General features: G+C 36.1%; 2 long non-coding RNA genes across 2 annotated transcripts in view, besides 1 other annotated feature; one reads left to right on the top strand and one right to left on the bottom strand.

Annotated features, from left to right (window-relative positions):
* Positions 1–10,888, bottom strand: part of LOC107985243 (uncharacterized) — a 79,017-nt gene extending 68,129 nt beyond the window's left edge. The window contains exon 1 of the long non-coding RNA XR_001738357.2: positions 10,841–10,888. This is a non-coding gene — a long non-coding RNA (uncharacterized LOC107985243). The remainder of the gene's footprint in view (positions 1–10,840) is intronic.
* The window catches only part of LINC02789 (long intergenic non-protein coding RNA 2789), a 244,710-nt gene that overhangs the window by 19,337 nt on the left and 212,642 nt on the right, over positions 1–12,731 (top strand). The window lies entirely within an intron of this gene.
* Positions 5,612–5,661: an enhancer, noted in NCBI's record as "active region_2290". NCBI's record gives its function as "activates an Ori minimal core promoter by ATAC-STARR-seq in GM12878 lymphoblastoid cells {active_cell/tissue: GM12878}" and the evidence as "EXISTENCE:reporter gene assay evidence [ECO:0000049][PMID:35858748]".

Here is a 12,731-nt window from a genome sequence, read left to right on the forward strand (position 1 = left end):
AATTAATATATCATGCTCTTTAATATCTATGTGTTGAGTAGGGGAAGGAGAGTTGAAGTCACCACTTAAAGCTTTTTAAATAGATTACCTTATTTAAATAAGTAAACTCTTCAATTTTTACTTGGATGTCTTCGTTCCAAGGAGGCAACACTTAAAGTGAACATGTAAGACTGGATAAATAAAATTCAATACATTATATCTGACAGAGTTTTAAATCTCTACACAGTCTAATAAAAAATAGATTCAAGATTATAGCAATACCAACTTTCTTGGAATCTTACAAAACATGTTCAATCAACTAACCTATGTGTATACAGTAACAACTGTAATGGGCCCCATATCATGCTAAATACCATGAGGACTATAAAAAATATAAAAGCGTCTGCCCTTCTCAGTTTATAATGGAATGGGGAAATATTATTTATGAACCTGAAATTATTTCAGAGCTATACTAAAGTATATACAATTAGTATTAGCCCTGAAGTCATTGCCCATAAATGGAATAAAAAAACAAGAATCTGGGCTGCAATAACTGTTTGGATGCATGTAAAACATATGTCACCTAATGTGACAGAGTCTTTAATAGAAATGTACTATATACTCTAATGTTTTCCAATCTGAATTTATGCATTAAATAAACTTTTTTTAATCGATTATGTAGTAGGCTCTATATAATGCACTGTGGGGAATATAAATGTAATTAGGCTAATAAGCTGTGTGGTAAAGGAAAAATGATACAGCAGTAAGTATCACACAAGCTATAATGTTTGAATTGCAATAAAAGGCTTATGGGATTCAGGGAAGGGAGAAATCTACTTCATATTGAAGTAGAAAAAGGAAAGTTCCAAGGGCATTTAGATGAAAAGTAGAAGTGATGGCAAAGATGTTTCTGAAAGCAATCAGGAAAGGATATACCAAACAGGAAGTAAGAGCCTGGGTATAGAGGGATGAAATTAAGCTTATTTAGGGGAAATGAAAAAGGTGAAATTAGGATGCCTTGTTATGAGGTAACCGAGGAACACAGAATTTTGTTCTTTGCTAGACAATTCTCAATTCCCACAAAGTCACCAGAAGAAGTGTATGCTCAGAGGCAATGATCAATCAAAGAATAATCTTCATTCTGTGAGGATGTGGCTTCAAACACTTGTATAATGCCTTTGTGAGCTAGTCTGACCTAGATAGAGAACACTTCCTCATAGGCTAAACGCAGCCTCCAACCTAGAGCAAAAGTATGCAAAATGCTGTATTCTCACCTTTTGCTAGAAGCTGGCTTCTAGCAAAGATTATTGGCTTAGGACAGGCTTATTCAATTCCAGGATTCATTCCTAGAATAGAGGTAGTGGGTATCCTTTACCTTAACCAATTCATTCATTCAACAAATATTTATTAAACATTTACCATTCAGTCAACATTCTTATAATGCCTTGGGATACTTGAGTGAGCAAAACAAAAATTCCCAAAATACAGTGTAGTTTAAAATTTGTATTCACAACATAGCTATGCACACATTGTTTCATTATCTCTCTATAACTGAATTCATCCATGAACTCTTTATGCCTTAACCTTTCTGACTCAAGCTATTTAGTCAATATCCCAGCTTCAGTGGGACTACTTGGAGAGATTACCCTGATGTTGGAGAAAAACAGTAGGCACTGTCTGATTCCAGCCTGGAAAAGCAAAACTACACAGCAGAGATGGACCAGCCAGCTGTCTCATCAGGAAAGGGAAGATTAGTGGAGGAAAATATAAAGTTGAATCTTTTCATGTACCACAAGTTCTACTTGATTTGACCTGCCAGGTTACACCTTAATTCCAGGTGGTATTTAGATTGAACATAGACTTACATAAAATCAAGGCTTCTGGCTTGAAGCTATCCTCTACCTCTTGCTAGTCTCCACTGAGGTGTCTAAACACACTGACTCTTGAATTCTTGACTCCCACCCCTGCTGCATCAGCTGCCTAAATAATTAATGAAATTCCCCCTCAGCATTGGAAGGGTGCATTAACCACTTCAGGGACATCTTTGCAGACTCCATATATTCCATCAATAATCTAAGAACAAACAGAGAAAGCCCCATCAATGGAAGCCACCTTGGCTGATGAAGATGATGTGATTCCTAAGATATGGTGTGACTGCCATTCAGGGACTGAGCTGTATGGTCTGCTCTGCAGCTCTTCACCATAGCATCCTTATTCTCCTTGTTTCAGCTTCCATTTATGCCCTTCATTAGGACAATTGAGATATTTGGGTCTTCTTCACACCTTATTGGAACTGAGGGAGATGAAGATAATCTCTCTCTGTCTCATTTCCTCTCTCTCTCTTCTTCTCTCTCTCTCTCTCTCATGAACATTCTTTGAGGCTACTTCCAAATAGGTCATAACATGTTTCACTAGAAAAAAACCTGTGAATCTTGAAGTGCAAAGATTAAAACTGTTCAATATGTACTATGGTTCTGGGTGTGGTGCCTCATGCCTGTAGTCCCAGCACTTTGGAAGGCTAAGGTGGGAGGATCACTTGAGCCCAGGAGTTTAAGACCAGCCTAGGCAAAATGGTGAAACCACATCTCTACTAAAAATACAAAAATTAGCTGGGTGTGGTGGCATGTGCCTGTAAACCCAGCTACTTGGGAGGCTGAGGCACAAGAATCATTTGAATTTAGGAGGTGGAGGTTGCAGTGAGCCAAGATCACGACACTACACTCCAGCCTATGTGAGACTGCAAGACTCTGTCTCAAAAAAAAAAATATATATATATACATACCATGTATTGGACAAAGGTAGATCATAAGCAAAGTGATTTGGAATAAGCAAATATTTATTAAGTGTCTTTTCCATGAGAGTCAATATATTAGGCGTCAGACAAACTAAGGCACTGACAAAGAAAGGACGGCATAGCTGAGAAGGCTATAGCTGAAGCAAGACTAGCAGGATCTGGGTAGCTACTGGAGATGGAGGTAAAAAGAATCAGATGACTCAGAGGTTCTCATATTAGTAACTGGGAAAAGGATCATGCCATTGGCATAAACATAAAACCAGGAGGACAAGCAGGTTTGAATTCTGTTCTGAAAGTGAAGAGTAGAAGATGTCAGAAGGGCAGCCAGCAGGCCTTGGAAATCAGGCTCTGAGCTTGGGAGTGAGGTCAAGAGTAGCAATTCACACTCGACACTTATACCCAGAGCAGTGTCATTTGAAGCTGTGAAGATGTGATCACTAAGGGAAGAGAGAACTGGAAGATAAGGCCAAAGTCAGAACATTTGGGAGCCCCTATACTAAAGGGGACAAGAGGAATAACAAAAAGTGAAAAAGAAAAAATATAAAGGTCATATCAGAAACATTTTTATAGGAGATATCTTAGCATACCCCTTCAGAACTCTTTTCCTCAGACTTACACAAACCAAATTGGATTCAATAAACCAATTTTAACAGATATGTTAAACACATGATATATACCAATTAAACATTCTGTAATTATTAAATAATAAAATATGTTTATGTAAATCTAACACATATCTTTATGACAAATAATAGGTGCTTTCCCCGATAGTTTTCTTAGGTCATTGTTTAATTACCTTTCACTGTTTCTTGGAATATGATGCCAGCTTATTTTCATTATCATCACTGGAAAATTTGGGAAAGTAGGAAAAAAAGAAAAAATCTATCTTACTATTTAATAGTTTGTGATACAATATATTAATAATTGAACGATAATTTTACTGTTACTCCAAGTAATCCTAGAATCTGATAGACAGGAAATCAGGGAAGTAAAATAACTCAAATATGCTTTAAAGACATGTTAAGTAACTTTTCCCCTTTCCTGCTTATATTTGTGCCAAATAAGTAAAACCAATATAATTGGAGAAGAATGGGAGGTGATGCTGCATTTATTAATAGAATGGTCACCAGCATGACTCCTCCAATGACTGAAATAATAAAATATATCACAAAAATTGAAAGGGAATACAAATTCTAACAAGATTGGTATAAATTTTGCATTAAGAGCCTCAGAGGTCAAGGATGAGGGCTTCAGAAAAGATTTTTCATTTTTTAAATATAAAAAGTCTTGTAAATCTTCAACAATCATATTCTTTAGATTTGAAGGTAGAAGTCAGATAAGTCCAGTCCATAGGATTCAGCAGCGTATAGAGATAGAGCAAGGAGAGAAAGATTGTCTGGACTTGTCTCTTATGAGGAGCAGCACTGCAATAAAGGGAATAACTAGGGATTTTAACTTAATGAGGTGACAGGATTGAGAAATGTTTTTTCTTTCTTTTTTTTTTTTTAACATTGCAATTTTCAAAGTGTTTGTTGATTTAATGTCTGACAAGGGATGGAGCAAATGTGATAATGAGAGTGATATCCACAGAGAATTACATGCCCTCCTTTATTTCTCCCAGCCTCCCTGAGGTTAGGTTTGAGCCACATGACTAGTTCTAGCCAATGGACTGTAAGTGCAAATGATGTGTGTCAATTCAAGAGTGGATTTTCCAAGATCTCTTTTCCACACGAGGGCAAATTTGAAGTCTCATGTTGCTATGGTTGAATCACAAAGTGGAAAGCCCCTGGATTCCCAAGCTACCAGACATATTACCTATCTATTGCTGTGTAACAAACTACTCCCAAACAGATGTTTATCATCTTACAGATTTTGTGGGTTAAGAACCGTAGCATAGTTTACCTAGGGGCCTGTGGCTCAAATTCTTGCATAAGGTTACTGCAAAGCTGTTTTCTGGGACTCTAGTCTCCTCCGAAGGCTCAACTGTGGTGAGGGAGTACCTACCTCCAAGCTCACTTAGGTTTGCTGGCAGGCCTTGGTCCCTTGCAACCAGTACCTCTCTACAGGATTCCCTTCTAACACAGCAGGTGACTTTCCTTGAAGTAAGTGATTCAGGAGAAAGTGTGAAAGTGTTCTCAAGATGAAAACCACAGTCATTTTATAACCTACTACTGGAAGTGCAACCTATTATTTCTGAGTATTTAATCATTAGCAGTGAGTCAATAAGTCCAGTCCATATCCAAGAATACAAGATGAGTCAAGGAGATATAGAGGGGATGAATACAAGGAGTCAGGGATGACTGTAGGGCCATCCTTAAGGCTACCCCAACACACCAAATGAAGGAGAATACCCACTAACGGAACTTTGCAGGAGTACAAACAAAATCTTTTGTTTTATGCTATAGAGATTTTTGAGGTTGTTCTTTTAGTATAGCCTCATCTCTCATGACTAATAAAAGCTCTAGTAGGAGACAGAATGGAATTGAACCATAAAAAGCTAACCATAAAAGTAGATGAAGATGATAGGGCATAATAAAACATCAAAAATGTATTCAAATAGTATGTTCATAACAGACTTCAAAAAACAATTTGGTATAGTACTTTAGACATGACTATGTGTACCTTTCATTTTTAAGCCTATTCTTATATGATTTCAAATACCATTAGTACTCCTAAATGATGTCAGTGTGATAGAATCTTTTTTTGTGGTGATTATCTAAGGCTGCCTGTATGCATGACTGTTAAAACATGCCTAGAGACTTTACAAACAGATGGTTCTTTGGATCTTCCCACAGACTGTCAGCATGAAAGTGCAACTAACAGCTTTCTGTGATCTTCTATACCTCTACTTCCTCCTTTTAGTTACCAAAATTGATTTTAATTTTTTTCTCACACCTCAAGTTTAGATAATCTAAAGTAGGTCACTCTGTAGCATCTAAAACACTCCCAGTAGCTCTGTTCAGAGTGTGAAGTCAGACACTTTTAAAGCATTCAAAGTGAAAGCCAGCACTGGGAAGAGAAACATAAAATGTGTTCAAGTGGTTCTCTAACAAAACAAGATACAATCTAGTTCCTTTAATACAGTAAAATATGATAATAATTTTCAATGTTATTTCCATAAAGCTTGGGATAGACATTGGGTCTTGTCATGACAAAAAGTCTTAGCATTGTCCTCTTGTTGGTTAGCTCCTTTCCTGCTCCTTTCATATTTGCAAGTGCTGGGACATGAGCTCAGTTTCCAAAAGACCTACCAAAGAGGTATATTGGGTTGAATGGTGTCTCCCCAGAATTTACTAGAACCTGTGTGAATTTACCCTTTATGGAAATAGGCTCTTTGTAGATGTAACCAAGTTAATACGAGGGCATGCTGGATTCGGGTGGGCCCTAAATACAATACGAATGATGTCCTTACAAATAGAAAAATGCTGACGCAGAAACACAGATACAGAGGGAAGGAGCCAGAGATTGGAGTGATATATCTATAATCCAAAAAATGCCAAGGATTGCCATCAACTATCAAAAGGTAGGAGAGAGACATGGGGCAGGTTCTCCCTCAGAGCCTCCAAAGGGAACTAACACTGATAACACCTTAACTGCAGACTTCTAGACTCCAGGACTGAGAGAATACATTTCTATTGTTTTAAGCCACCCAGTTTATGTTAACTTGTTTCAGCAGCCCTAGAAAACTGATACAAGAGGAGAGGAAGAGACTCATGCTTGGGCAAGTGTGGCCACCCTGCCTCACCCTAGTACTAAACTCAGTCCCAGCCTCTGCTCTGGCTCTAGCCCAGCCTCAGATCCAGCCCCAGCCTATGCTTCATTTCTAGCTCTTCCTCCAGCTCTATCTCTATTTCCAGCTCCACCCCAGCCTCAGCCCCAGTCCCAAGGGCCAGCATTATATCTTATGCTCCTCCCTGATTCAGATGGTTGGCAGGAAGAGTAGTGAGAGAAAAGCTCCAGTCCCAGTCCTTCATCTCTAAAGTTCCCTGGAGCTTTAAAAGCAAGTTAGTTGTTCTTTGGAAAGTCCAATCAGTTAGAGCTTCAAAACCACACTACATAAACAAATTCCCTGCTTTCAAAAGATCTATAACATCTTTCCTTACTTCTTTTCCTATTTCTTGTCTTTACTTTTACTATTGTTCCTTCTTTCCCTTCAGAAAAATCCTTCTTCATTGCATCTTTTATGTTAAGGTTAAAGTCAAGAGATTATGACTCTTAGAAGAAATCATAGAAGTAAATTTTCATGACTGTGGGTTCAGCAATAGTTTCTTAATTATGAGACCAAAAATACAAGTGAAAAAAGGAAAGAGTAGATATATTGGGCTTCATCAAAATGAAAAACTTTTTGCTGCAAACTATACCATCAAGAAAGTGAAACAACAATCCACAGAATGGGAAAAAATATTTGCAAATCACATATCTGATAAGGAACTTGTATTCAGAACATGAAAAGAATCTTTACCTCTCAGTAATAAAAAGGACAACTAAGTCAAGTGAAAATGAGCAAAATATTTGAATACATGTTTTTCCAGAGAAGGTATACAAGTGACCAATGATATCATAAAAAGTTGCTCAATATCATTGGACAGGATGGAAGTACAAATCAAAATCTCAGTAACAGAACTTTTCACACTCAATAGAATGGCTGCAATAAAAAGGGCGGACAAGAACAGTGTCGGCAAGGATATGCAGAAATCAGAACCCTTGTACATAGCAGTGGGAATGTAAAAAAGTACAGGCATTTTGGAAAACAGTCTGACATTTCGTTGAAATGTTAGCCATAGAGTTATCACATGACCCAAAAATTCCTCTTACAAGTGTATATCCAAGAGAAATAAAAACAATGTCCATGTAAAACATACACATAAATATTCATATTGACATTATTAATGACAGTCAAAAAATGTAAATCATCCACATGTCTTATCAACTGAGGAATGGATATATAACTGATGTCTATATCCATACAATTGAAAATTTGTAATCGATAAAAAGAAATAAGAATCAAGTGCTGTGCATGCTAAAACATGAACGGCCCTTAAAAATAATCATATGATGTGAAAGCCAGTCACAAAAGACTACATATTGTATGATTCAGTTTATGTGAAATGTCCGGAATAGCTAAATCTATAAAAAAAGACTGTATATTAGTGGTTGCCTAAGGGCTAGAGAAGCGGTCTGGGTAATGGAGAGTGATTGTTAATGGATGCAGGAGTTTCTATTTGGAATGATAAAAGTGTTCTAAAACTGAACTGTAGTTATACTACTCTCTTTTGGGGGAATGATAAAAGTATTCTAAAGTTGGATGATGATTACACAACTCTGAAAATACTAAACACTGCTGAATTTTTTTAAAAATCATGAGCTATAGTTAAAGATTGCTATTATTTAAAGTTAAATACCACAAAGCAAAATGAATTGTGAATAATACTCAAATGAAAAGTTTTGTGTAGTTCATGATATTTTCAATATTACATTAAAAAGAAATTATACAGTCTTTTAGAATCAGTGGTGAAAACAACTTATTTTAATAAATATGTTTAATGTGACAAAAATGACTAGCATTTTTCAAGTAAAATGGATTTTCGTAAAAATTATTTTGTTTAGTTTAAATTTTGGAATCAAGAATTTAAACTTTTCTTTGCACTTGTCTTTTGGGCATGACCTAACTACTAGCTTGTAAGTCAACTGGTTTCTACATATCAGCCTTCTCAGATTCAACGACACCTACGTGTGAGAGTTTTTGTCCTAGCTTTCCTTTTCCTGCCTTTCTTACTTTATTTTTGCCTCGAGATAATGAATGTGGAACGCCATACTTTTGCAGCAGCTCTGTAGTTTTATGCTTATAATGGGAATCTGGAAACCAGAAAGTCTTCTGCCATATTTCCACATTTAAAAAAACAAATTGTGATGCAATGTAACTTTATTTCAGTATATCAGTTAGTTTAATTTATCTAAATTCAAGCATTTTTGCATTCTTGAAGTTTTCTAATCAGTCTCTGCAACTTTAAAACTACTTTTGGCTAATGTTAGGTGAATTTTCTTGGTAAGAGGAAATATGAATTGAGAGAAATTATATTCTTTTTAAAAGTCAAAGACAATCCCATTGCCTTGTGTGATTTTAAACATAGGCACAATTTAATGACAGCCACAGAGAAAGCAGCACTTGCCATGCCCTTGTGGCTAAATGCCATCTATACAACATGTTAGAGTTACTGTCTCGTGGGAGAGGGAGGCTGAGCGTAGTCACACGCACCACAAAGAGAAAAGGGAAAACCAAAGGAGTCTTTACGAGAGTTAAAGAAAGAGGCTAATGGTACCGAACATTATGATTTCTCAAATTCCATAAAAACATAGAAGCAAACTATTTTTCTTTCCCAAAGTATATGTGAAAGACTTCCTGTTCAGTTCTTCTGCAGTACTATTGTGGAATTTTCCTTTGAGGTTAAAGTGCCTAAATTTTCCAGCAAGAGAATCCCTTTGAAGTCAATCTGAAACAGTGTCAAAACATATGGGAAATAACCCAAAACATTTAAAATACTCTCCTTAAAAACTGTAGAAAATCCCTCTTTAAAATAATGGGTTGGAAGGCTGTAAGATGCACGCATTGAAAATGCTAGTGTTGTTTGGTTGTTTTGTCTGGATTTAGAGGGAAGGGAGGGGATTACACTCTGAATTGCATTCCTTCTTTACTAGGACCATAGTAGTGATTACATTTAGTTCCAGTTTAGACATAAGCATTTTCAGATTTATGCCGTGTATGTTCTTGTTATAAAGCTTTTTCATTCCAAAGACAGACGATTTCAGGAAGTGTTTAAGTTTTTACCCACATATATAGATTCCGTATTTGATTTACACATTATTTCATGTAATATACCTCCAAATATTCTGGAAAATTAAAAGAGAATGAAAGCAATAGTAGCTGCTAAAATTAACCTACACAGGGTCTGCCAATATGTAAACAGTAGTCTGAGTTGGGTGAAAGGAACCAATTGGGAATTTTTACTGCACGTGCATTAAAGCTTTAAATGCACGTAGCATTACAACTTTTCTTTTGTGGAGGTGTTTGAAGAAATCACATTTTTACTTATTCCTATAAAATATCCTGTTAATGATTTGGTTCAGAATCATTCTATAAAACCTGTTTGCTGATTTGATCATAATTGAGGGGAAAATACAGAAGACTCAAGAAGAACTGTGTAATATGTTATTACCACAGGCCATTTCCAAGTTCTGTTGAGTATTTCCATCTCTATATGCTACTGGCATCTGAAATTCAAAATATCCCAAAATTAACTTCCTATACTTTATGTACTTCTCATTCCCAATCCTTAATCTTTCCATTCTAGTCTTTATCTCTATTAATGCTACAAGTTGTTCCAAAACATCAAGTCTAGAAACTTTGAGTCATTAGTGCTTCTCACTCACTCACTTTACTTTTCCAATCACTCACCAAGTTCTATATATTCTATTTCTGTGTATGTTTCATATTCATATCCATCTATACATTTCCACTGCCACAATTATGTATTGCTTAGACTATTTGCAATCTCTTCAGCCATCTCACTTACATCTGTTTTCTTTCCAAATATAAGTCAAAAGGGTCCTGCTTTAAAAAAAATCAAACAAATTATTTAAGAATGCCTCACCATCTGGACTCACTGTATCATTCTAGCCTCATATTTCTTGAAATCCCATAACAGTCTCTACTTTTGCATTCTTATAAAAAATTCAGTCTACATTGAGCCTCCCTTGATCTTTCATGTTTCTGTACATTTGCCATGATATTCTCCGAGCCTGTCAATAGTTCTCCTTGCCTATCAAAAGGCTATCATATTTGGATGCCCATATTGGATAAGATTCTTTAGTTTCAAGTAAGAGAATATTAATTAAATATGCCTTTACAAATAAGGACATCTATTATCTCACACATCAAGAAGACTGGAAGAAGAGTAAATCCAGGGTTGGTTAATTTAGTAGCTCAAAATGTTTAAAGTTATATTATAATAGCTTCCCTGAATCCTTCTAAGTTTTCCTGCATAGTAAGAAAATAGTTAAGGTTCTCACCATTACATCCTGATGTGACCATATCTAAAGGCGGCAAGTGTCACATTTGCAGGTTTATGTGCCTTCTCAGGGTTCTCCTTGTTGCTCACTGACTGTGGTTACGTCACATGCTCTGCCTACAGAAAAGGAATTATACCATGATTGACTTTAACCAACAGAAGCATTATTATGCCCAAGAGAGTGATAATTGGTAGTGAGGGATGAAAAATTATTACTCTTTTATGTACAAAGAGTAGGTAGATACACATTTAGCACATAAATAGATGTATATTATGTCTGTGATATTAAGATTTCATATGGGAAGGTAATTAGAAAAAAAAAGTCTAGAAAAGCTCTTGAAGGGAAAGATAATAAAAGAAGGGTTGATGAACACCCATATTAATTAATCAGTGTTCATTCCTTGGCAAATGATAGTGTTCATGAAGCATTGCCAGCCTAACACTGAAAAAAATCAGCATCTTATTAGTAAACAATGACCATTGGTAATTTCTACCACAGCACCCAACTGAAATAATAAATTTTAATAAGTCATTCCTTCTCTCCTCCAGTTAGATTTATTATCCATCCTCCATGGAAGGAATTAATTGCACCCATGCTACTTTGTCATAGCTTTGATTTGTGACCACTATTGTGCTTACTTTATGTTATTCTCTATTACAGTTAGTTGTCTACAGGTACACTTGCATTCCTACACCAAATGGATAATAAGCTACTTCTGGTAAGGCAGAGTGTCTTCAGCATTTTTTTAGATCTCCCAAAGATCACTGAAGTAAGAGGCACTCAAATGTTTATGGAATTGTATTAACACACACATACACACATATACACACACACACTCACTTTACAGATGGAATGTTTGTGTTATCCCTAAATTGAAATGTTAAAGCCCTAATCCCCAGCCTGAAAATATTTGGAGACAGGGCTTTCCTTTGAGAGGTTATTAGGTTAGATTAAGTCCTGAGGGTACAGCCCTCATGATGGAATTACTGTCTTTATAAGAAGAGATTATTTCTTTCTTTCTATTTCTCTCTCTCTCTCCCCGCCCCCACCTCTCTCTATCTCTCTATCTCTTCTTCTTTTATTCTCTCTCTCTCCTCTTACCCTTTCCCAACTCAGCTCACACTCACTGAGGAAAGGCCATGTGAGGACATGGGATCTGCATGCCAGGAAGAGAGCTCTTGCCAAGAATTGAACTGGCCAGCACCTTGATTTGGGACATCCCAGCCTCCAGAACTGTGAAAAACAAATCTCTGTTATTTAAGCAACCCAGTCTATGGTATTTTGTTATGGTAGCCCAAGCATACAAAGATGTACACACACACACACACACACACACACACACACACACACACACACATATACACACACATATACTCATAAAATATATATAATTACATTCATTTATAAACATTCAATAATTTCTATTATAATGCAATCATTTAAAATTGGCAGAGCAAGTATTAATACTTATTTTATGGTAAGTATTAGCCATATTTTTTCACATGAGAAAACCTAAGCTCAGAGAAGCTAGATGGAAGACTTATCAATGGCAGGAATAGGACTCAAATTCATACAAACTTCCATGTTTTCTAAAATATCACCATTTAATTACTAATGATATTGCATCTGAAAGCAGCAGATACCTGAACTATGTGTTATGAACCATAAACTAGATGTCATATATAAGAAAAGAAATGGTCTTATAAATAGCATTATTATATTTATGAAAGACCTAGTAAAATGTAAATACTCAATTATGTTTAATAATTGAATTTTCAATTTAAAAAAAATCCATTTTTTGGCCAGGCGCAGTGGCTCATGCCTGTAATCCCAGCACTTTGGGAGGCTGAGACAGGCAGATCACGAGGTCAGGAGATCGAGACCATCTTGG

The sequence above is a fragment of the Homo sapiens genome, chromosome 1 (genome assembly GCF_000001405.40).
Source record: "Homo sapiens chromosome 1, GRCh38.p14 Primary Assembly".
NCBI classification, from domain to species: domain Eukaryota; kingdom Metazoa; phylum Chordata; class Mammalia; order Primates; family Hominidae; genus Homo; species Homo sapiens.